We start from the raw sequence: 26,298 nt of genomic DNA, 5'->3' as shown, positions 1-26,298 counted from the left end.
ATTAAACTTTTGGTGTTATATCCAAAAAACCATTACCTAAGCCAGGTCACAAATATTTTCCCCATGTTTTCTTCTACAAGTTGCATAGTTTTTGGTTTAACATTTACATCTATGACCTATCTAATTTTTGTATGTGGTGTGAGACATAGATCAAAGTTCATGTTTTTGAATATGGACATTCAACTGTTCCAGTACCATTTGCTGAAAAGGCTATCCGTTCTTCATTGCATTGTCTTTGTGCTTTTGTTAAAAAGTCAGTTGTGGGTGGGCACAGTGGCTCACGCCTGTAATCCCAGCACTTTGGGAAGCCAAAGCAGGTGGATCACTTGAGGTCAGGAGTTCAAGACAGCCTGGTCAACATGGTGAAACCCTGTTTCTACAAAAAATACAAAAATTAGCTGCATGTGGTGGCATGCGCCTGTAGTCCCATCTACTTGGGTAGCTGAGGCTGGAGAATCCCTTGAAGGGAGGTGGAGGTTGCAGTGAGCCAAGATCACACCATAGCACTCCAGCCTGGGTGATAGACTGAGACTCTGTCTCAAAAAAATAAAAACAAAAAGTCAGTTGTCCCTGTATGTGCGGGTTTATTTCTAGGCTTTCTAAAAATACAATTGACATTTGTATATTGCTCCTGTATCCTGCAATGTTTATGCTCACTTATTGGTGCTAGTAGCTTTTTAAAAGATTTCATTGGGTCTTCTACATAGACAATCACGTGGTCTATGAATAAAGACAATTTTATAGTTATGTTTGCTTAGTGACAGAAATATGCTCTAAGAAATGTGTCATTAGGCAATTTTGTCCTTCTGCGAACTCTAGAATATACTTACATAAACCTAGACAGTATAGCCCACTATACACATAGGCTATATGGTATGGCCTACTGCCCCAAAGCTACAGCAAAACTATACGGCATGAATAGTTTTGAATAATTACAACATGAATAACTACTATATGAATGCTATAGGCAATTGTAACAAAATGGTATTTGTGTATCTAAACATATCTAAATATAGAAATGGTACAGTAAAAATACAGTATTATAATCTTATGGGACCACCTTTGTATACGAGGTCCATCACTGACCAAACATCATTATGTGGTACATGACTGTACTTCCTTTTTTAAAAAAATAGTCAATAAATACATGCTTATTGATTAAACTGAATTATGAAAAACAAAACCAGGCCAGGCACAGTGGTGCACGCTGGTAATCCCAGCACTTTGGGAGGCTGAGGCAGGTGGATGACTTGAGGCCAGGAGCTCGAAACCAGCCTGGCCAACATGGTGAAACCCTGTCTCTAATAAAAATACAAAAAAATTAGCTGGGCGTGGTGGCAGGCACCTGTAATCCCAGCTACTTGGAGGCTGAGGCAGGAGAATCGCTTGAACCCAGGAGGCGGAGGTCACAGTGAGCTGAGATTGCACCACTGCACTCCAGCCTGGGCAACAGAGTGATACTCTGTCTCAAAAACAAAACAAAACAAAACAAAAATATTTTTTTAAAAAACAATAAAAATAAAAATACAACAATAAAAATACAAATTTAAAAACCCAATACAGTATAACAATTATTTATATAACATTTACATTGTATTCAGTATTATAAGTAATGTAGAGAAGATTTAAAGTATATGGGAGGATGTGCACAGGTGATATGCAGATATTATGCCATTTTATATAAGGGAATTGAGCTTCTGCAAATTTTGTATCAGCAGGGGTTCTGGAATCAAGCCCTTGTGGATACTGAGAAATGACTGTATATCCTCACTTGCCACTGTAAAACCTCAGGTGATGTTGCAAAATTTCATGTATAAGAACTTTACAATAATGAACTTCCATATTTCCCCTCCTGGCCTTTAGACTATTGTCATACAATTTACTTTTAAATGTATTATAAACCCAAAATATATTATTATACTGGTGTAACAATCATCTTTTAAATAGATTTAAATTTAAAAATTAAATACATTTATCTATGCAGTTACTATTTTCAGTGGTTTTCTTTTTCTTTTCTTTTTTTTTTTTTTGAGATGGAGTCTCGCTCTGTTGCCCAGGCTGGAGTGCAGTGGCACAATCTCGGCTCACTGCAAGCTCCACCTCCCGGGTTCATGCCATTCTCCTGCCTCAGCCTCCCGAGTAGCTGGGACTATAGGTGCCCGCCACCCCGCCTGGCTAATTTTTCAAATATTTTTAGTAGAGACCGTGTTAGCCAGGATGGTCTTGATCTCCTGATCTCATGATCCACCCGCCTCGGCCCCAAAGTACTGGGATTACAGGTGTGAGCCACTGTGCCTGGCCTATTTTCAGTGGTTTTCAATGCCTTGTAAAGATTCGGATTTTCATCTGCTATCAAGTCCATCTATCTGAATGACTTCCTTTAGCATTTCTTGTAGTGTGAGTCTGCTGGTTGTGAACTATTCCATATTTTGTACGTCTTAAAGTGTCTTTATTTCATCTTCATTTTTGAAAGATTATTTTTTGTTTGTTTGTTTTTGAGATGGAGTCTTACTCTTTCATCCAGGCTGGAGTGCAGTGGCGCGATCTTGGCTAACTGCAACCTCTGTCTCCCGGGTTAAAGCGATTCTCGTGCCTCCGCTTCCCAAATACAGGCCCACATCACCATGCCTGGCAATTTTTTTTGCATTTTTAGTAGAAATGGGGTTTCACCATGTCGGCCAGCCTGGTCTCAAACTCCTGACCTCAAGTGATCCACCCACCTCAGCCTCCCAAAGTGCTAGGATTACAGGCGTGAGCCACCGCACCTGGCCAAAAGATATTTTTATTGGGTATAGAATTCTAGGTTAACTTTAAAAATATTGCTCTGTCTTCTCATTTATATTGTTTCCCATGAGAAATCTGATGTCAGGCTTCTTTTTGTTCCCCTGTACTAATTACATGCCTTTTCTCTCTGGCTGCTTTTAAGATTTTTCTCTTTACCATTGCTTTTGAGCAATTTTATTTATTTATATTTTTATTATTTATTTATTTGAGATGGAGTCTTGCTGTGTCTCCCAGGCTGGAGTACAGTGGCATGATCTCAGCTCACTGCAACTTCTGCCTCCCAGTGATTCTCCTGCCTCAGCCTCCCAAGTAGCTGGGATTACAGATGCCTGCCAACACACCTGGCTAATTCTTGTATTTTTTTGTAGAGACAGGATTTCACCATGTTGTCCAGGCTGGTCTTGAACTCCTGACCTCAAGTGATCTGCCCATCTCGGCCTCCCAAAGTGCTGGGAGTACAGGCATGAGCCACTGTGCCCAGCCTTGAGCAATTTATAATGATATGCTTTGGTGTAGTTTTTTTTTTTTTTTTTGAGATGGAGTTTTGCTCTGTCAGCCAGGCTGGAGTACAGTGGGGCAATCTTGGCTCACTGCAAGCTCTGCCTCCCGGGTTCACGCCATTCTCCTGCCTCAGCCTCCCGAGTAGCTGGGACACTACAGGTGCCCGCCACCACGCCCGGCTAATTTTTTGTATATTTAGGAGGGACAGGGTTTCACCATGTTAGCCAGGATGGTCTCGATCTCCTGACCTCGTGATCCGCGGTGTAGTTTTATGTTTCTTATGCTTGGGGTTCACTGAATGTCTTGGATCTGTGGGTTTATAATGTTCACCAAGTTTGGGAACCTGTGGGGGATTATTTCTCCAAATACATATTTTGTCTCCCACACCTTCAGGCCCTCCAATTACTAGTATATTAGGCTGCTTGTAGTTGTTCCACAGCTCACTGATGTTCGTTTCATTTTCTTTTGTTTCTGAGTTTAGCTGCAGATAGTTTCCATTACTGTGCTTTCATTATTCTTTTCTTTTTCAATGACTAACCTGTTGTTAATCCCATCCAGAGTGCTTTTCTTCTCAAACACTGAAGTTTAATTTGGGTCTTTTTCGTATCTGTCATGTCTACTTAACTTTCTGAAGATATGAAATATAGTTATAATAATTGTCTTGATGTCTTTCTCTGCTGACTCTAACGTGTCAGTTCTGCACTGGTTTTGATTGATTAATCTCCTTGGTATTGGTTGTATTTTCTTGCCTCTTTGCACCCTGGTAATCTTTCACTGGATGTCAGGCATTGTCGATTTTATCTAGTTGGGTGCTGAGTGTTTTTATATTCCTATAAATATCCTTGAGCTTTGTTTTGTATACAGTTAAATTATTTGGAAACAATTTGATCTTTTGGGGTTTTGCTTTCATGATATTTTAGGCAGTACTGGAGCAGTGCTCAGTCTAGGGCTATGTATTATCTGTTACTGAGACAAGACCTTCCTAAGTGCTCTATCTTATGCCTGATGTATTATGTGGTTTTCCTGTTTGGCTGGTGGCTGGTGGGAATAGCCACTTTTCTTGGCCTTGTGTGAATGCTGGGCAGTTTCCTCTAACCCTTTTGGGTGGTTCTTCCTTTCTCTTTCTCTCTTTCTTTCCTTTTCTTTTCCTTCTCCTTCCTTCCCATTCTCCCTCCCCTCGCTCTCTTCCTTCCTTCCTTGTGTCCTTCCTTCCCTCCCTCCCTTTGGGACAGAGTTTCATTCGCTGCCCAGGCTGGAGCACAGTGGTTCAATCATAGCTCACTTCAGCCTCAAGCGTTCCTACTGCTTCAGACTCCAGAGTAGCCAGTGCTACAGGCACACGCCATCATGCCTAACTAATTTCTTTATTGTTTTGTAGAGGCATGGTCTCACCAGGTTGCCCAGGCTGGTCTCAAACTCCTGAGCTCAAGCAATCCTCTCACCTCAGCCTCCTAAATGCTGGGATTACAGATGTGAGCCACCACGCTTGGCTTGAATGGTACTTTTTAAAGATCAGCTTTGAGTAATTTCTTCACATGCAGGTACCAAGTAATACTATGTTGAACATTTGAGGGACTCTTTGGATATCTGTGGGTTTCTCTCTTCTTTGTGCAGCTCTCTTCCCTCTGGTACTTAGTCCTGTGAACTCTAGCTGCTCTGGTCTCCCCTCTCAGTTCCTTCTACTTGACTTAAGGAGTCTGCTGGGTTCTACCACTTTCCTCTCCCTATATCATGGTCTAGAAATTGTGAAGACAGCAAGCTTGGGCAATCATAAGACTCACTTTGTTTCCCATCTCTCAGGGATCACTATTCTTTGTTGCCTGATGAATAGTGTATTTAAAATTTTTTTAATGTATTTTTGTCTGTATTTTGTTGTTGCAGTTGTTCCAGGGGGAGGGTAAATCCAGTCTCTTTTCTCCATTTGGGCCAGGAGCAAATGTTGAGCTGATCTGCTACTGATTCTATAACCGTGGTGTTCTCCCTTTGTTTTCCTGTTCCTACTACCCCGATTCTGCTCTTGAAATCTGACATACGTGAGCATTTTACAGAACTCTAGGTAGAGCTCAATACCATCTTTGTACCCTCATCTCCTAGTACCCAGTAATTGCCAAATATAATTGTTCAGTAGTGAGCAGAGAGTTCAAAATCTAGTTATGTTATCATCTACCTGTATCTTGAACTTGCCTACATTAGGTATTGGCCTTTATTTCTACACATGCAGAGCTGACGAGAGATCAGTAAAAAGCAGACATTTTCTACTAACCTATACATTTGGATTAATTTTGAGAATTTTTATGTTTATGAAAATTATAACATAAAAGAAAATTCAGAAAAAGAAACAAACATGCTGAAGTCTTACTTCTCCCACGAACCAGTTTTTTTTTCTTTTAGTACATGCCCTTCTATGTTTTATCCACATTATCTTTTTACGTGATATGACAAAAAATCATTTCAATTTTACTTTTATTGCTTAACAGAATTATTTCCTAGGTGGCTGCACGGTTCATAATGATCTTTTTTAGCATCTTCATCATGTGTGTATGTCACGATTTGCTCAATTGTTGCTATACTAAGGTTGCTTTTCCTTTTTAGTTAATATAAAGGGAACTGCAGTGAATATCTTGACTCTCCATTTCGGTTATTTTCTTGGTTAAGCCCGCTAAAGTGAGATTATTATAGCAAAAGGTATAAATATTTTAAATGTTCTTGTTACATATTGCCAAACTGCTTTCTTAAAAGGTCACACCACTGTTCACCTTTACCAGCCTGGCTGAGAGTGTCGGTTTTACCAGCACTGCATTTTAACACTGAAATAAAATATTTTGGCTAGTGTAATAAGTGAAAATGACTTCACTGTTATTACTTATGGGTTTCTTCATTTCCACAAAGTGGGATATTCTTCCTCATGCTTACTAAGGGGTTGCATTTTCTCTTAGCAGGAATAGAAGTCTCACAAGCACATGCATGACCCGTAGCCTCCTCTCCTGTCTCAGAGGGGAGTAATCATTGTTTTCCTTCTCTCTCCCATCCATGAGTTCATCAAATATTTATTGAGCCTCTTCAGCATGCCAGGTACTATGTTAGGCTCTGGGAATGCAGTAGGGGAATAAGACAAAGATACAATCCCTACCTTCAAGGAGTTTACCGTGTAAAGGAAAACCCCGCGTGTTCTCAGTATCTGGCTAGAAGTGGGCAAATTTGCCAAAGGGTTCCCACCATATTTGGAAAAAAAAGAGACTGTTTTAGAAAAGCATTAACTGAGTATTCATAAGAAACTAAATTTAGAAAATCATGCTGGAGGAACTTTTGATGCACCTAGAGAGGGAAGGGGGAAGTAAGTGCCCAAAGGAGGACACAAAGCGGAAGGAGACAGACACGGCCACATCTTAGGGACGGTTGAATGATACACTCCCATACAATCTGCTTCTTAAACAGCCATCATCAGGGACAGAGGAGGAGTCCTGGGGGAAATGGAAACAAAGTGATAGGCTATGTGAGCAGGGTAGGCCTAGGTTAGGGGGTGGCAGATCACAAAATATTCTGGACACACAGAGGGCAGCAGGCAGCATGAGAGCTCTAAACTCTTGGAAGGCAAAGGAAAGGAGGCCATGGTGGAGGACGGGGAAGGAAAAGTGTTGGACATTTACAGAGTTCCATTTAGAGTTGTTCCTGCCCACTCCCTTCTTAGACAGTAAAGTCAGCTATGAGAGATTACTATGACAGCAACAATCCCACTGTACAATCACCACATGCGAAACAGAAAAACTCAGAAGACACAAACATTATTATTACACCATAGCATCCCTGCCTATGATACTACTTGCTATCAAAGTATGAGGACTACATACATTGGTACATATATGTAGTTTGGTGGTGGGGGGGGGTGGTAAATCCACCCTTTTATTCTCATTGAGATGTATCATAATACAGAAGAGTGCACAAAACATTTATAGCTTAAGGAATAACCACAGGCAAATATCTATGAAACCACCATCCAAGTCAAAGAAACAAAACAAAACAAAACAAAATACTGTCAGCAGCCAGTAGCCTCCTGTGTGCTCTTCCCATTCCATCTCCCTCCTTCTGCCCAGAGGTGATCACTGTGTTTTGTATGCATTCCTCAAATAGTTTAGTTTTGCCCTTTCTTTAATGTAATAGAAATGAAATAATATTGGACGGAGTCTTTTGTGAATGACTTTTTTGTTCAGTATCATCTTTGCAAGATTCCTTTATAGTGCTAGGTGTAGACATCTGTTTGTTTATTTTCATTGCCATATGCTATTTCATTTTATATATATATTTGTTGTTGTTTTGAGACAGGGTGTCACTCTGTTGCCCAGGCTGGAGTGCAGTGGTGAGATCACAGCTCACTGCGGCCTTGACCTCCCAGGCTCAAGAGATCCTCCTGCCTCAGCTCCCCAAATAAGTGGGACTACAGGCATGTGTCAACACACGTTGCTAATTTTTAATTTTTTTTTTGTATTTTTTGTAGAGACAAGATTTCACTATGTTCAAGACAAGGCTAGTCTTGAACTCCTGAGCTCAAGCAATCCACCAGCCTCAGCCTCCCAAAGTGCCAGGACTACAGGCATGAGCCACCTCATCTGACCCTAAATATGAATATCTCACAATTTACTTACCCATTCTATTTTTTTTTTTTTTTTTTTTTTTTTTGAGACGGAGTCTCGCTCTGTCGCCCAGGCCGGACTGAGGACTGCAGTGGCGCAATCTCGGCTCACTGCAAGCTCCGCTTCCCGGGTTCACGCCATTCTCCTGCCTCAGCCTCCCGAGTAGCTGGGACTATAGGCGCCCACCACTGCGCCCGGCTAATTTTTTGTATTTTTAGTAGAGACGGGGTTTCACCGTGTTAGCCAGGATGGTCTCGATCTCCTGACCTCATGATCCACCCGCCTCGGCCTCCCAAAGTGCTGGGATTACAGGCGTGAGCCACCGCGCCCGGCCCCCATTCTATTTTTAACGAACACTTTAGTTGTTTCCTGTTTAAGGTGACTGTGAAGAACACTGCCATGAACAATCTTGAACATACCTCTTGGTGCACATATACAAAAAGTTCCCTAGAATGGAGTAGCTGGATCAGAGGATATGCACATTTTCTACTTTACTATGTATTGCAACCTACTTACAGAGCTTTGGTATCAATTAACACTCCTACCAGCAGTGTATATTAGTTCTTATTACTTGAAATCCTTGCCAACATCTGGCTGGGCACCGTGGCTCACGCCTGTAATCCCAGCACTTTGGGAGGCCGAGGCAGGCGGATCATGAGGTCAGGAGATCGAGACCATCCTGGCTAACATGGTGAAACCCCGTCTCTACTAAAAATACAAAAAATTAGCTGGCCATGGTGGCGGGAGCCTGCAGTCCCAGCTACTCGGGAGGCTGAGGCAGGAGAATGGTGTGAACCCGGGAGGCGGGGCTTGCAGTGAGCTGAGATGGCGCCACTGCACTCCAGCCTGGGCGACAGAGTGAGACTCTGTCTCAAAAAAAAAAAAAGAATCCTTGCCAACATCAACTATTTGTCATTCTTAAATTCACTGCCAATTTGGGATCTGAATATAGTATCTTGTATTTTTAATTTAATTTTCCTCATTACCAAAGTAGTTAATCATCTTTTCATGTATTTATTGCCAACTTGGATATTCTCTTTTGTGAAGTGCCTGTTGAAGTTTCTGCTCACTGTTTCTATTGACATACTTCTCTTATTAATTCATAAGTATTCTTTTTTTTTGTTTTTGTTTTTGTTTTTCTTAAGATAGAGCCTAGCTCTGTTGCCCAGGCTGGAGGGCAGTGGCAAGATCCTAGCTCACTGCAGCCTCAACCTCCTGGGCTCAAGTGATCCTCCTGCCTCAGCCTCCCAAAGAGTGAGCCATGTGCCTGGCCCATAAGTATTCTTTATATATTCTTGATACTAGTTCTTTGTTAGTTTTATGTATTACACATATCATCTCCCAATTTATGGCTTTTTTTTTTACTCTATGGTGACTCCTAATAGTTAGAAGTTATAATTTTAATGTAGTAAAATATCAGTCTTTTCCTTTATGATCAACACTTTGTCTTTTTTTTTTTCTGTCTCCCAGGCTGGAGTGCAGTGGCACGATCTTGGCTCCCTGCAACCTCTGCCTTCTGGGTTCAAGCAATTCTCCTGCCTCAGCCTTCCCAGTAGCTGGGACTACAGACACTTGCCACCACACCTAGTTAATTTTTATGTTTTTGGAGAGACAGGGTTTTGCCATGTTGCCCAGGCTGGTCTTGAACTTTGGGGCTCAAGCGACCTACCCACCTCAGCCTCCCAAAGTGCTGGGATTACAGGCATGAGCCACCGTGCTGGCCTTTATATATAATATTATAATAATATATTCACCTTTATACTGACAGTTATAAAACATAATTTGACATATTTTTCTACAGAGGAAGAGCCTACATAGGCAAAGATATCTAGGGCCCAAGAAAATCATAAAGTGGCCCTGCTTCATAGAGTCTTCCTAAAAGCCATACTATTAGTGACAGGGGCAGAGCTTAGGAGGCTCACCCCATGCTTCCCTACAAGCTAAGGGATAAAACATGTGTTCTTCTAATGGTGGATGAGCATATTATCTTCATTTAGAAAGACAGTACATACCAGTACTATTAATAAATTAATAAAGACTAAATTAATAATCCCCAAATGCTAATTTCTAATTTAAATAAAAACAGAATTCAAATAACATTTATTTCCAGGCATTTGTCTGGTACTAGGTGATACAGAGATAAACAAAAAGAACATAAAGCTTCTAGCGTATAAGAGAATATACATGGTTTGCAAATCATTATAACAGGGAACAGTGTCACACAAGCAGAAGTGTGGTAGCAAGGCTAAGTCATTCCTCACAAAGATGCAAAACAGGCGTTGTTAATTTCAGTTTTTGCAAATGAGGAAAGGAAACCAAGGCACAGAAAAATTGATTGGCTTGCCCCAATTTTCAGCCAATATATGTCAGGTACAGTATCTTAATAGCAGAACTCTGACTCCCAGCCCTGTGCTGTTTACCATCTGCTCTGAAAAACTGCTCACCCCACTGTAGATATTCAATAAATTAGATTGTATTAAACTGAAAGAGAAACAGTGCCACCCCAAAGGATTATGAATTTTCTCAGAGCAGCTTTTTAATCTATTTTTCTAGCTTAATTGAGGCATACTTTATGTATAAAATTTGCCCATTTCAACTATACAATTCAATGATTTTTAGTAGCCTTACCAAGTTGTGTAACCATCACCATAAATCAATGTTAGAACATTTTCATCCCCTTAATAAGAATGCTCACACCCCATTTTCTGTTCATCTCCATTCCCACTCCCTGCTCCAGGCAAGCACTAATCTACTTCCTTCCTCTATAAATTTGCCTTGTCTGCACATTTCATATACACAGAACCATACAATATGTGGTCTCTTTCATCTGGTTTATTTCACTTAACATCATATTTTTGAGATTTACCCATGACATAGCTTATGTCGACAGTTTGTTTCTTGTTATCGCTGGATGGTATTCCATTATATGGATACATCACATTTTTGTCCAGCCATTCACAAGTTAATCAACATTTAGGTTGTTGCTAGCTTTTTGTTATAACGAATAATGATGCTATGAACATCTGCATGCAAGTTTTTATGAGAACATATATTTTCATTTCTCTTGGGTAGATACCTGGGAGTGGAATTGCTGGGTTGCATGGTAGTTTTATGTTCAACTTTTTGAGAAATTGCCAAACTGTATTCCAAAATGGCTGCCACATTTTACCAATGCATTCCTATCAGTGGTGTATAATGGTTCCCACTTCTCCACACCCACAGACACTTGTTACTGTCTTTTTTATGACAGCTGTTCTAGAGGATGTGAAGTAGTATCTCATTACTTTTTTTTTTTTTTTTTTTGAGATGGAATTTCTCTCTTTTTGCTCAGGCTGGAATGCAATGGTGCAATCTCGGCTCACTGCAACCTCCACCTGCCGGGTTCAAGTGATTCTCCTGCCTCAGCCTCCCGACTAGCTGGAATTACAGGCATGCACCACCACACCTGGCTAATTTTGTATTTTTAGTAGAGACGGAGTTTCTCCATGTTGGTCAGGCTGGTCTCAAACTTCTGACCTCGGATGATCCACCTGCCTCGGCCTCCCAAAGTGCTGGGATTACAGGTGTGAGCCACCGCACCTGGCTCTCATTATGGTTTTGATTTGCATTTCCCTGACTAATGATATTGAGCATCTTTTCATGTGCTTATTAGCCATTTGTATCTATTATTTGAAGAAATGTCTATTCCAAATCCTTTGCCCATATTTCAGTTGGACTGTCATCTTATTAAGCTGTAAGAGCTTTTGTAAATTCTGGGTGTTAATACTTTATTAGATTTGTGTTTTGCTAATATTTTTACCACTCTGTTGTTTGCCTTTTCATTTCTTGATGGTGTCTTTTCATTGACAGATAATAACTGTACATATTTATGGGGTACACATATTTTGATACATGCATACAATATGTAATGATTAAATCAGGATAAATAAGATATCCATCACCTCAAACATCTATCTTTTTTTGTGTGTGTATTGGGAACATTCAAATCTTCTCTTCTAGCTATTTAAAAATATATATTATTGTTAACTATAGTCATGCTGCTCTGCTATCAAACACTAGAACTTATTTTTTCTATCTAACTTTATGTTTGTACACATTAGCCAACCTCTCTTCATCCCCATCTCCTCACCCTTTGCAGCCTCTGGTAACCATCATTCTACTCTCTGTCTCCATGAAATCAACTGTTTTTAGCTCCCACGTGTAAGTGAGAACATGTGATGTGTGTTGTTCTGTGCCTGGCTTATTTTATTTATGAGAATGACCTCTGGTTCCATCCATGTTCCTGCAAATGACAGGATTTCATGATTTTTTTACAACTAAATAGAATTCCATTGTGTATATATACCATATTTTCTTTATCCTTAAAATTTTGAAGTGTAAAAGTTTTGAATTTTGATGAGGTCCATTTTATCAATTTTTCCAAAAACAAATCCTTATATTTAGAGTTAATTGACTTATGAAGTTTAAAATATTTTAATTTTGATGAGGCCTATTTTATCAATTTTTCCAGAAACAAATCCTTATATTTAGAGTCATTTGACCAATGCAATTCACTGATGAGAAAACGGTCTGCTCAACAAATGGTGCTGGTACAACTGGATATCCACACATGAAAAGTTGAATTTAAGCTCTCATTTCATACTATACAAAAATTAATTCAAAATGACTCATAGACTTAACTGCAAGAGTTAAAACAATAAAGGCTTTAGAAAAATACTTGGAAATTTTCAAGATCCTGAGTTAGACAAATGTATTTTTCATCTATTCCTGAATTCTCGTCCCGATTAAACATCATCTATGTGTATGTCATGCTTATAATGCAGATAGATAAAAATATAGCCCCCTTCAGTAAAAATGATAGAATATTCCACTGAGATTGGTGGCCAAAATTTGAATTAGCAATTACATGAAAATGTTAAGAGAAGGCCAGGTGCGGTGACTCATGCCTGTAATCCCAGCACTTTGGGAGCCAAGGCTGGTGGATCACCTGAGGTCGGGAGTTCAAGACCAGCCTGACCAACATGAAGAAACCCCGTCTCTACTAAAAATACAAAAATCAGCCGGGCGTGGTGGCATGCGCCTGTAATCCCAGCTACTCGGAAGGCTAGGGCAGGAGAATCTCTTGAACTTGGGAGGCGGAGATTGCAGTGAGCTGAGATAGTGCCACTGCACTCCAGCATGGGTGTCACAGTGAGACTCCGTATCAAAAAAAAAAAAAAAAAGGAAGAAAATGTTAAGAGAAAATATGCAAGCAATAAGTGGTAACCCAGCCAGAACAGAATATATATAGCTTAGCAGGTAGAACTCAAGACAAAGGCATGCAAATAGTGCATTAAACTCTTCTTCAAATACCATACAATGTGTGTACCCATACTTGAGGCTAAAAACTGTTGATTACAGACAGTCACTGACTGCAGATTAAGATTAGGGAGAAAACAATCTCCTATAGAAAGGTGAATCTCAATCCATCAGTTAAGGAAGTGCTGCACATGCTAATATTTGCAATGGTATCATAATGCCAACATGAAATTTCTACAGTCCATTATGTTCAAGTGTCAGAAGAAAGAAATTATTGAAAAGTCTATAAACATAATTCATTAACACAAAAATTTTAGATACAAAGCATCACTTATAAAGGCACTTTCTTTTATTACATTTTCTGGGTTGCATCTGAAATTGTTAATAACTAATTTTCATGGTCAAATTACCACTTACATCCTCACAAGGGACACAAAAGAATGTGAGCATTAAAACTTGGCCACTGTGTTCACGGTGAGTCAGTCAGTGCCTTCCCCTTGCTCCTGGCCTGTGTCTCATGATGGCAACTGGGGAAGCCTTTGCTAAAGCCTGAATCTTGATTTCCTCTTTCAAAGCAAAATTTGTTTACAAATTATATTTTCCGGTAGAATTAAAATTGTATTACTTCTTATTAACATTTTAATATCGTCATTATTTTCAGGTACAACTGGTTATTTACATACCTACCTCTCCCTCTTAGGAAAGGTTACATGTTTTATTGTTCTTTTTTTTTTTTTTTTTAGACAGGGTCTGGCTCTGTTGCCCAGGCCAGAGTGCTGTGGTGGTATCTCAGCTCACTGCAACAGCACCCAGCTAATTTTTGTATTTTTAGTAGAGATGGGGTTTCACTATGTTGCCCAGTCTGATCTCAAACTCCTGAGCTCAAGGGATCCACATGCCTAGGCCTACCTACTAAAGTGCTGGGATTACAGGCATGAGCCACTGTGCCTGGGCCTGTTTTATTGTTCTTTAATCCCTTATATTAGTTTTTTTTCTTTTGCGACAGAGTCTCACTCCATCATCCAGGCTGGAGTGCAGTGGCACAATCTCGGCTCATTGCAACTTCCACCTCGTGGGTACAAGCAATTCTCGTGCCTCAGCCTCCCAGATAGCTAGAATTACAGGCGCATGCCACCATGCCCAGCTAATTTTTGTGTATTTGATAGAGACGGGGTTTTGCCATGTTGGCCAGGCCGGTCTCGAACTCCTGACCTCAAGTGATCTGCTCACCCCAGCCTCCCAAAGTGCTAGGATTACAGGCATGAACCACTGCGCCCAGCCATGAATGTTTTTTAAATCATTGCAGACATCAGTCGAGTACTGAAACCCTGCCTTACAGCAACTGATAAGGTTCTTAAAACGAAATAAACACTTGATACGTTTTTGTTGTAATGAAGTAAATCTTAGCTTTTAATACTGTGGTTTTAAAAATTATATTTCACAGCATAACATATCACGGGATCAATCAAATTACATAAATGATATTCTAAGAGAGACATGCAGGTGTTTCATTAATGTAATGAAGGCTATGCTTTCAATGGCCAGAGCCAAATGCTAACTTGTTTCTTTCTTGAATACCTAGTGACACCATGTTCTCTCATTTATTCTAAAGAGAAGTGGTCTATTCTCTTAGATCAGAGCCTCTATCTAAATCTCCCGTGCAATTTAAAAGCCAAACTTTTTACAATCCAGGAAGAGGTGGACTTAGCTGAGTACAGGCACATAGCAAGAAATGCCCCAAAGAAAGTTAGCCTTATTATCATTGCTGCTGCTGCTGCTAACATATTCTAATAATCACTTCTATCTTGAAAATAAGTAGAAACAATTGACCAGCTCATCAGAATTTCACATTAATTTGAAAGAGGTATGCTGTGTAGCAAATGAAGACCACCTTCTTCTCAATTTGTGATTAACACTGGCAAAGTACATATGCTATGAAGTTTGTGTATCAGATGAGTAAAATGTACTCCACAAAAAACAAGTGAACTGAAACAAATTCACAAAGTCTTTTAAAATACTTTCCTTCTTGCCTAAGATATAACCAAGGCTGGTTTTGAGTAATTTTCTCAAATACTATCTGCAGTGATCTTTTCAGGCAAAGCCCTCCAGCCCTTTGGCCACTTGGAACCATGAAGTTCCACCTGGAATCTTATCTTGGCCTCAGGGCCTGGGCTGGTGCTCTATACTGGAGGAATTTTTAGAAGCCTCAGACTGGTAGCTTATCTGCTCAGTAGGATCAGTCATTCTGCTGATCCTGCTCTGATATTGTGACCTAGTTTCAGGCACTAAGATTTTATCTAGTTATTCATAACCAAGTCCCTCTCTTGTATCACTAGAAACTAGATCCTGGATTCATCCGTTGTGATCCACAATCCTAGCTTAGGACCTTGTTTTGTATCCCAGATGGTGCACTACTCCCTATGACGTTCTGTGGGCTTAGTTAGAGCCCTACCCTGGAACTCCAGTCTTAATGACTGTGTCTCTAATACTTGCCACTGGATGGCTATGATGCAGACTCCCCTCATGTCTGGATTTCCACTTATTGCCTACTGTCAGTCTCCCCTAGAATGAGGTCCTAGGCTCCAGCTAAATTTCCTACCAGCTGTCAGGACTGTGAGGACTTGGATTCTGGTCATCCACAGATTAACCCATCTCAAGGCTGAATTCTAACTCTAATAGTAACTCAAGTAATACCTTTATTTTGAAATATCTCTATTCAAACCAGCCAGCAGTAAGTATATATTTTAAAAAGTCTCATTAAATATACATGTGATGCTTGAAATGCCAAAAGAAAATATCCCATACCTGTCTGAGTGAATCCTGATTTGTATCCATTAGTTGTCCCATTTTCTGGGGTCACAGTTGACGACACTGAAGAGCTTGGCTTAATAGAGTGGCAAGAAGCAGAGGATTGTCGGCTTCTACATTCTGGAAAAGAGTAAAAATCACATTGTATGAAGTGACCAATGTTCTGTTAAAACAGGTGATGGGGACGCAATCCATAAAATCTCTAAATTAAATCGCTGCTCCTTAAGCGGCAGCCACTTTAATTAGAGATCACCTTCCCCATCCTGACTCCAACAGAATGTTTCAACTAGTGAACACAATGCTTTTGTTTGGAAGACAAAGAAATGGTTTCAAAGAAATTGGACCTTTGTTCCCTACATACTAGTTCCCAGAGGAAAAATACTCGTAACCAATATAGTCATGCTAGTTTTATGGGTAAGACAGAGGTTAAAACATTAGTAATTTATGAAAACCTAATAGGCCTTTCAATACCAGTTAACATCCTACCTGGGATTGGTTTAAATGTAGAACAGTAACCTAGGGTCTGTCTAGGCTGCCTATAACCTATTCTCTTCTCAACCTTAATTTAGGTCCAAAAACAGAAGCAAAGAAAAATGTATAGGCAGTAGAGAAAAATTTTAAATGCTCAAATTAATATTATTCTCAGTTCTTATTAAAGGAGACAGCCAATAGTCAAAGTGGTTACGGATCATGATATGCCAAGCTTCATTTTAAGTAAGCCAGTATTAATGGGCCTCTGGTATATTTTAATAGTGCTTTGTACTGATTTAGGTAGATAGTAAATACTATGACAGCCTGTGGGACTGTTAACTTCCAACCAAATTTTACCCTATTCGTCTCAAAAAGTAGCATGTGAAAAAGGAATATAAATGATTTTATATGACAAAGTTAATTACAGATGGTCCTTTAGAGTGTCTCCAAGTTTATGAGATACATACAAGGACTGGAAGCAGTTTTCTATAACCTTCTATGCTATGACCTGCTATGAAGAGCTATTGTATTCTGGCCTAAGAGCTTATCTCCAATAGGTAATATACGCATATATGTATATTGATATTATATGTGTATATATATAAATTATATAAATAAATATAATTTCAGCTCCAAAATAGCAACTATTATAAACGTGAGGCTTCTTTCACAAATGTTATTCTTTATTAGAAAAATGAGGCCAGGCATAGTGGCTCATGCCTGTAATGCTACCACTTTGAGAGGCCAAAGTGGGTAGATGACTTGAGCCCAAGAGTTCGAGACCAGTCTGGGCAACATGGCGAAACCCTGTCCCTACAAAAAATACAAAAATTAGCCAGGCACAGTGGTGTGTATCTGTAGTCCCAGCTCCTTGTGAGGCTGAGGTAAGAGGATCACTTGAGCCTGGGGTGGGAGAGGTTGCAGTGAGCCACTGCAGTCCAGCCTGGGCAACAGAGTGAGAGCGTGTAAGAAAGAAAAGAAAAGAAAGGAAAGGAAGGGGAAAGGAAAGGAAAAGGAAAGGGAAAGGAAAGGGAAAGGAAGAAAGAAAAAGGGAAAGGAAAGGAAGGAAGAAAGAAAGAAAAGAAAAAGAAAAGAAAAAAAGATAAATGAAAAGAGAAGGAAAGGGAAGGAAGGAAGAAAGGAAGGAAGGAAGGAAGGATGAATTGCCACTGAGTACTAAGAAGTTAAAAATATTTTATGCAACCAAAACAAGGCTAAAGAAGGGAATTAAAAGGGAGGGAGGTGATACCTATCCTATTTTTATCCTTTTCTTAGGATTCATGACATTCAAAATGATTTTTCTGAGAAAAGTAATTTAATAGGATAAACACTTATCTATAATTCACCAGCTTATGATTCAGTGGTCACAAGCGTTAAGTTCTGATGATACCTGTCTCGGAATTATACCCATTTCCTAAAGAACTATATAATGCTACTTCAAAGATAACTAAGAGAAATTAAGGTGAAGGACTCAGAAACAAATCTGCAGTTGTAATTTGGAATATTATGCTGTTTTTCATAGTCAGGAAAAACATCAAAAATAGTTATTATATGGAGAAAAAAATCTCAGCACCTAAGAAACTGATCAATAGAATAATAATTAAATACTTCTTTTCTTTAGCACAGTGAAGAGAACTTCTGTCAATCCTGTCAAGCACATGAAGATGTGAAGTTTCAACTGGATTCATTTCTATAAATAAGTTAAGTTCTTCCTAATTTATAAGAAATAACACTTGGACAACTTAATAGTGTATTTTCCCAGGTATTATGAAGAGAACATTAATGTTTATTCTAAGTATGTTTAGGTCTAGTTAAAATAGAAAAAATACAGATGTTTGAGAATCTCCAAAGAAATTAAATAGAGTAAAAACGGCATCTAACCAAGGAGCTGTCACCCTGAGGTCCTCTCTAAAGGACAGAAGAGCTGGAAAGAGTCCATTTTTCCCCTTGAGAGCTGTACCCCCTTCCCAAGAGACGAATACAGAGACATTCACTTTCCTAAACTTGAATTGTCTCTGTTAAAATTAGTAAGGGGCAAGTCAAATAACCTACCAGAAGGCTTTAAATTTTGGGATATCCTTCTGAACTTAGGATATTTATCTGTATCCCACCTGAACTCTGAATCTTGTATGGGTCACTTGTCACCACCGTAAAATCTCCATTCCCTCCCCTTTTCTTCCTGGAAATTGACTACCTTTCCAGCAGATAAGAGGTCCTTTAGACAGTACACCCTGGGAGCTTCTGACTAGGTAGTACTTTAAGTGCTTCTGCTTCTTTGGCTGAGTGGTGAGCTTCAAGTTAATGTGGTTGGAAAATTCCGTGAAATATCGAAATCCTCTTTCTCCACAGCCGATACAATTTCCAGAAAACCCTGAAGTCAGGAAAACCAATGTTACTAATGGCCTTGTAAGTTGATACAATACTTTTACGTATTAAACAGCATAGAAACATTCACATTCTTTGACCCAAAAATGTCTCAATCTCAAGGAAATAATTCAGAGGGAAAAAAACCAGGTACATGTTTCTTTAGCAGAGTTATTTTATAACAGTGAAAGACTGGAAATAATTTAAATGCTGCTCTAAAAGGAAAGGAAAGGTTAATCTCTAAAAGATTAAGGAAATAGAGTAGATAAATACAGTAGATAATGGTTAAGGTTAAGGAAATAGAGCACATAATATAATGAAAAGCTTGGTTCTAGAATGTCTATTATTTCTTCCCCACATACTCCTTCCTTAGAGAACCTGCGTCCTCACCCTGGTTCTCTGCCCTCTCTACCACTCGAACTTGCCTCCATGGCCACAGCTGGTGAGCTTGTGGCCCACCGTCTGACCCAGTCTGGGACAGTCAGAATCTCTCTCCTGGAATTTTGAAATAAATACAAAAAGTCAGGCAGGTGGTACTGGACCCTGGATTTGTAAGGTTTTAGAGAATTGGAATCCGAATTAGGGTTATGTCAGCCACATGTAAGCTAAGGTACGGGAACCAAGAACCATGAAGGGAAGCTGATCTGCGAAGAGGAAAGCAGAGCACAGGCCAGATGTTCAAATTCAGGGCTTTGTCAGCTTCTAGTTTCTGTGAGATCTAGCTATACTTTCTGACAGGAGTTCCATGAGATTCCTATTTCCCCTTTTCTAACACCTGTTTATTCATACTGGCTTCTTATTCCTTTAGATCTAATATCCAAACAATTCCTCACTCAGACAAATCAAACAAAATAAAAATTTTGGTGACCTGGTTGGAACAGGGGACATGGAAAAAAGAAGAAACAGAAAACTGGGAGGATGAAAAGCCATACTTTTTTTTTTAATTGAAAATCAATTTTTCCATCCCCCTTAATACACAGAGTAAAGCAGACAATAAGAGTGAGTTCTTCTAGTTGTGTCTGATGAGGGCATAACACATTTACTGTTATATAGATGAACAGGAAAAAAAAAGTTGTAATAAGAAAGGGCATTCCATATCGTATAAAGGCAATATTTCTATATGTAAATAACAGAAAACAAATTCACTGATGAAGTGATACACTCTTTTCAGACCCCTAAGCTAACCTGATATATATTAATAATTAACAAAGATATATAAATAGAGAAGAGAAAAGCCACAAGGATTAAAGATAGAATATTTCACAACATCCTAATCTCAGAATGCTAACCATCAATTCAAAGCATTTATAAATTGGAAGTCCAATTTGTTATGATTCAATCAACAACTATTTATTGAGCATCTACCTATATGCTAGGCATTTTGCTAAACACTGGGGAAACAGTGGTGAAGAAGAGATATTCATAACCTCTGGTCAATCACATAGAATTAACAACTTATTACCGCCACTTTATAGACATGCAAACAATATAATTTTATAAATGACTTAAAATATATTCAGAGATGGATTGTATTTGAGAACATTTGACTATTTGTCCAATACCTTAAAGCAGTAGCCCCTCCCCGCCAAAAAAAGGTTGCCAGTGGCTGTCTAGGTCACTAAAGTTATCCATCCATCCATCTATCCACCCACCCATCCATCTATCCATCCATCCATCCATCCATCCATCCATCCATCCATCCAACCATCCATCCATCCAACCATCCAACCATCCATCCAACAAATACTGTACTCTATTATGTGCTAGACACTGTGGCAGGCACCAGGTTTTTTAGCACTGAACAAAGCAGACAAAGTCCCTGCCTTTGTGGAAACTACATTCTGGTCTGATTATGGCATCTTCATGGAAAACTGCCTGACCTGTGAAGTAGATATGCCACACCCAAAACACAGAAAAAAGCTACAAGAACCTTTCAGCCAAAATAATCAAGAACAGTGCCAAAACATGAGGCTTAACTGATAGGTCCAAGTGGTTTAGAAAAGATTAGTGTGAGAATTAACAAACTACTGAGGTTGAGTTTGATCTTTTCCTCTGTCTATTCTGAGGTGAAAAGCAAGAGTGTGAAGAGGAAGAAAAGCCATGGGTCTGAATAATCTGCAAAGGAGAGAATCTTCACATTAATGATGAGTTAACAACATAAAAGAGTTAGAATCCTACAGTCCATTTTAAAAACCCTGTATGGCTTCAGCATTAGCCTTCCTTCAAGGGAGATTTTATCTGCTTGAAGTTCTTGTTGTCATTGAAAACAAAAAATAACACCACTCACAGCCAAATTACCTTCTAGTTTTTCTGGCAATCAAGTCTTCCAATTGCATGGTAGATTTGGGGCACATGCACTACCAACTGGATCAATATATTTTTAAATCAATTCCCCCATGGTCTTTGGAATCTGCATAATTTATATAAAAATTTAGACAAATTGATATTTGAATCCACAGGGGTTCCAGAATAGTGGAAGCTTAAACATTTTTCCACTATATTTTAATGCATACGAAAATCATCCACTTTAAGTAAGAAATGTTGGATGAAAGTTTTTGGACAAGAGTATCAAACATGTAAAAATCCCAGCAATGTGTTTATTTAAGAAAAACCTGCCATTTTGTTATTGCACCACACTTTTACATGGAGAAGTGGTTAGTAAAAAATTATGTCCACTTACAAGGCTAGAGAAAGTAAGCAAGGTTCCAAGTCTGTAAGGGTATTTAATAAATACAATAGTAAATAACTGCCATTTGAAGAGCAAATACTATGTCCCAAGCACTGTGCTGGGTGGGTGCTTTAAGGACATCATCTCATTTGATCTTTATGACCCGGCAAGGTAGGCGTTAATGGCCCCATTATATGCATGAGCAATCTAAGACTTTAAGTTCTTAAAATACTTGCTGAAGTTCTTAAAGTACTAAGTGACAAATCTGGGATTAGAACACAGTTCTGATTCTAAAGCACATGGTCTTTGGTCTCACTCCTAATTTCTAAGGATTATGAAGTCTATTATACTGATGGTGTTTTCTGTGTCTTTTCCATGACATATTCTAAGAGGATTCTCTAGTCACAAAGAATCATTGAACAAAAAATGCATTATGAGAGATTTTCATTGTCGACAGTCAGAGCCACACCTGAACTGTTTATCATTAGATGAGACGATAATGCTTTTCAAATGCTAAAAAGTTTTCTGAAGTTGTTCTACTACAGCCTACTAGGTAGTAAGCTCTGTGAGGAACAGGACTGAGTCTTTTAACTGTTGTGTCCCTACGTAAGAGCCTCGTGTGATTTCTGTCACACAGTACATCCTGAATAAATACTGCTGAATGAAAAAACGAGTAGTTGGATCTTCACTGCTAATTTACTCCAGCATATTAGATTTATCATTAGACTTCTATATTAAACCATCTGCTCAATTTCACTAAACAAAGTGAAAACGTTTTTTCTTTTTTTCTGAGACAGTCTCACTCTGTCGCCCAGCCTAGAGTGCAGGGGCGCCATCTTGGCTCACTGCAAGCTCCACCTCCCGGGTTCACGCTATTCTCCTGCCTCAGCCTCCCGAGTAGCTGGGACTACAAGCGCCACCACGCCCAGCTAATTATTATTATTATTTTTTTTTTTTTTTTTTTGAGACGGAGTCTCGCTCTGTCCCCCAGGCTGGAGTGCAGTGGCGCGATCTCCGCTAACTGCAAGCTCTGCCTCCCGGGTTCACGCCATTCTCCTGCCTCAGCCTCCCAAGTAGCTGGGACTGCAGGCACCCACCACCACGCCCGGCTAATTTTTGGTAGAGACGGGGTTTTTTTTAGTAGAGACGGGGTTTTTTTTAGTAGAGACGGGGTTTCACCATGTTAGCCAGAGGTCTCGATCTCCTGACCTCATGATCCGCCCACCTCGACCTCCCAAAGTGCTGGGATTACAGACGTGAGCCACCGTGCCAGGCCGAAAATGTTCTTTTTTTATGAGAGCCTTATAAAAAATGAAAATTACCATTTCTTTTCCTATGAACCATAAAAAGTCTTTAAGCTATAATTTAAGGAACTTCTATAAAGCGTGTGCAGGCTCACTTATTGATCAGTGTATTGCTAGACTTTCTGATGACACTATATAACTAGGAAGAATGTATCAAACTACAAAAATAAATACACATCATGATCAATACAATATTTGAATTCATTGCTCTATTCTTTTTCCTTTTTACTGATATTTGTGCCTGAAACATGATTTCATCTATAGTAAGACAAATTCTGAGAAACAAAAACAACAGTAGAGAAATGGCAGCAGTAGAAAAGCAACAAATCTCATGTGCTCTCTTATCTTTTTAATTATTTAAAATAAAATAAATCAAGTCTGTTATTTCTTGTGATATAGGGAAGCTATGTTGTGAAAAAGCCCAGACTCTAATATCAGAAAGTAAAATAATTCTAGATAAAGTCATTTACATTTTATATCATATAGATAGAAATATAAAGATACATAGTCCTAGTTATTTTGGGTGAACTAATGTTAAATATAAAGTGAGAATCACATCACACAAGTATAGATAGAAATATCTATCTATATGACATTGGAATGAGTGGTATGGAAAAACAACAAATAACTTACAAAGTGAATAATCCACAGATAAATAATTGAGTTGACTTGATATCAGGTCCAATATCAGAGCTGACTTGATATCAATGACTATAGAGAGTGAATTCTCTTTTCTTTATAAAATATTAATTTTTGATAAATTGCATGCTTTTTAAAAATGTCTGGTCAAAAAAGTCATTTAATTAAGCTAAGTGTTTTGAGAATTAATAAAAATGAAAAGGCCGGGCGTGGTGGCTCATGCCTGTAATTCCAGCACTTTGGGAGGCCAAGGCAGGCAGATCATCTGAGGTCAGGAGTTTGAGACCAGCCTGGCCAACATGGTGAAACCCTGTCTTTACTAAAAATACAAAGAGTAGCTGGGCGTGATGGTGGGCGCCTGTAATCCCAGCTACTCGGGAGGCTGAGGCAGGAGGATTGCTTGAACCCAGGAGGCAGAGGTTGCAGTGAGCCGAGATCATGCCACTGCACTCCAGCCTGGGTGACAAGAGCAAAACTCTGTCTCAAAAAAAAGAAAAAAAAAAAAGAAAGAAAATAAATAAATGTTTAAGAAGTTACCGCCTGTAATCCCATCACTTTGGGTGTCCGAGGTGGGCAGATCACGAGGTCAGGGGTTTAAGACCACTCCGGCCAATATGGTGAAGCCCTGTCTCTACTAAAAACACAAAAATTAGCTGGGTGTGGTGGCATGCACCTGTAGTCCCAGCTACTCGGGAGGCTGAGGCAGGAGAATCACTTGAACCTGGGAGGCAGAGGTTGCAGTGAGCCTAGACTGCACCATTGCACTCCAGCCTGGGCGATGGAGCAAGACTTCATCTCAAAAAAAGAAAAAAAGAAAAAAAAAAAAGAAGTTACTAAAAGAAAAAATGTCTCATAATTGAACTAAACTATATAATCCCCAAATAATCCTCTGGTATATTTTTTAAAATTCTGCAGTAGTTTTAAATAAATGTGTATTTTAACTCCCTCATATTGGAAGGAATTTTATAAGCATGAAACACTCACCTAAAAGTGCATTTTTTCCATGATCATCTGGTAGAAATCGCTTGTCCACAGCACAAACTAGGATGTGTTCAGGCAGATTGGGAGACTTGGCCCCCACCAGGAGGAATCCTGCTGGGATGTCAATTTGTTCCATACACAGTGATACCAAACGCAAATCCTTTCCTGCTTGACAAAAACCTAAAAACCAGTTTAAAAAAAAGGACACAGTGAAATGTTTAGTGAGATTATATCTTCTTATCACTCATTTGGAGAGTAGATTTATTTTTGAGAATCACTATTACAGACTAAATTAAAGTCCCTATACCCCTATACTCCAACCAGAAGACAAATCTGCCAAGTGTGGCCCTCTGAACAAAGCTGAAAAGACATTGAAAGGAAATATTTCCGTCTGCTTCGCTTCAGCCAAAGCGACAACTTCATATTTTTTCTTTTTTTTTTCTTTTTTTTTTTTTTTTTGAGATGGAGTCTCGCCCTGTCGCCCAGGCTGGAGTGCAATGGTGGGATCTTGGCTTACTGCAACCTCCACCTCCCAGGTTCAAGTGATTCTCCTGCCTCAGCCTCCCGAGTAGCTGAGATTACAGGCGTGTGCGCCACCACACCCGGCTAATTTTTTTTTTTTTTTTTTTTTTTAGTAGAGATGGAGCTTCCCCATGTTGGCCAGGCTGGTTTCGAACTCCTGACCTCGTGATCCACCCACCTTGGCCTCACAAAGTGCTGGGATTACAGGCGTGAGTCTGGTCAACAAGTGGGGCAATGGTGAATACACAACAAACTTTGAAAACCACGTAGTTTTTATGTGCATGTAATACGATTATTTTACTTCCAATCCAAATTCACTTCTCTAGATGGGTACAGTGTCAGAATAGAGATACTCTTTATTTTCACAGAGGAAAAGACTGAAGCTCAGAATTTGGTGACTCCTAGATGAACGGGCCAAAACTGTTACAGCATTTCACTTTTTACCATGACATGACATGACAAGATGTGACAAAATCTTACATAACCACTTTGTATATCATAATGTATTATATGAATTCATCTGTTCATTGTTTATTAAACAAACATTTGCAACAGATGCTGTCCAAGACCAGGAGATACAGAATTGAACCAAATATAACTTCCTCCAAGAACTCACATTGCAGTCATTTGGAAGAATGTATAAGGAACCAAGAATCACAGACAGTGTTATAGGGAACAGCTACAGTTCTGCTGCAAATCTTCTGGGGAATGATTCCGTCTGTACTCACTGTAATCATATGACTTCCCCAGGGAGTTGTGACACTCCAAATTGATGTGGAGCTAGGACCTGATCCAACTGGGCCACTTTGATAGCCCAACTTTCTGGCCATAGTTGATTGGTCCAAGGGTGGACATATGACATAAACAAGGCCCATCAAAGCCTTTCCCCTAGAAAATCTGAACATGGAGCCAAGGAGAGCATGGCTCAGACTGCTTAGTGCCAGCCCTGTCTCTTGACTTGGGAGGGAACTCCGTCAGCACAGGCAGGAGGCTGAAAGACTGTTCTGGCAGTATCTGGATCCCTCAGCCCGCTGTATCTGCCTTTCCCAAGGTCTGGCCATGAAACCTTTTCTTTGGAATTCTTTCAGTAATTTCTTCATTTTACCTAAGCCATTTTCAGTTGGGTTTCTGTCATTTGCAACCGAGAAAGGCTGAATAAAAGTATGATAAATGCTATTTCAGGCCGGGCGCAGTGGCTCACACCTGTAATCCCAGCACTTTCGGAGGCCGAGGTGGGTGGATCACTTAAGGTTGCGGTTCAAGTCCAGCCTTGCCAACATGGTGAAACCCTTCTCTATTAAAAATACAAAAAAAGGCCGGGCGCGGTGAC

At 39.5% G+C, this 26,298-nt stretch overlaps 1 protein-coding gene and 1 long non-coding RNA gene across 30 annotated transcripts in view, besides 2 other annotated features; one reads left to right on the top strand and one right to left on the bottom strand.

The window, feature by feature from the left end:
* Positions 1-26,298, bottom strand: part of GREB1L (GREB1 like retinoic acid receptor coactivator) — a 283,881-nt gene that overhangs the window by 106,102 nt on the left and 151,481 nt on the right. For all 29 annotated transcript variants that reach the window (XM_006722547.4, XM_011526179.4, NM_001410867.1 and 26 more), the window contains 3 exons: positions 24,450-24,626; positions 18,685-18,861; positions 16,017-16,139 (listed from right to left, as the gene is read on the bottom strand). In XM_006722547.4, coding sequence (XP_006722610.1) covers positions 16,017-16,139; positions 18,685-18,861; positions 24,450-24,626 — 477 coding nt within the window. The remainder of the gene's footprint in view (positions 1-16,016; positions 16,140-18,684; positions 18,862-24,449; positions 24,627-26,298) is intronic.
* The window catches only part of GREB1L-AS1 (GREB1L antisense RNA 1), a 71,004-nt gene that overhangs the window by 31,037 nt on the left and 13,669 nt on the right, over positions 1-26,298 (top strand). The window contains exon 2 of the long non-coding RNA NR_187982.1: positions 18,112-18,190. This is a non-coding gene — a long non-coding RNA (GREB1L antisense RNA 1). The remainder of the gene's footprint in view (positions 1-18,111; positions 18,191-26,298) is intronic.
* Positions 16,982-17,481: an enhancer, noted in NCBI's record as "H3K27ac hESC enhancer chr18:18982491-18982990 (GRCh37/hg19 assembly coordinates)". NCBI's record gives its function as "activates a minimal SCP1, AML or CMV promoter by ChIP-STARR-seq in primed H9 embryonic stem cells {active_cell/tissue: H9 hESC(primed)}" and the evidence as "EXISTENCE:reporter gene assay evidence [ECO:0000049][PMID:30033119]".
* Positions 17,482-17,983: an enhancer, noted in NCBI's record as "H3K27ac hESC enhancer chr18:18981989-18982490 (GRCh37/hg19 assembly coordinates)". NCBI's record gives its function as "activates a minimal SCP1, AML or CMV promoter by ChIP-STARR-seq in primed H9 embryonic stem cells {active_cell/tissue: H9 hESC(primed)}" and the evidence as "EXISTENCE:reporter gene assay evidence [ECO:0000049][PMID:30033119]".

This window comes from Homo sapiens, chromosome 18 (genome assembly GCF_000001405.40).
Source record: "Homo sapiens chromosome 18, GRCh38.p14 Primary Assembly".
Classification (NCBI taxonomy): domain Eukaryota; kingdom Metazoa; phylum Chordata; class Mammalia; order Primates; family Hominidae; genus Homo; species Homo sapiens.
This window is presented reverse-complemented; position numbering and strand designations above follow the sequence as displayed.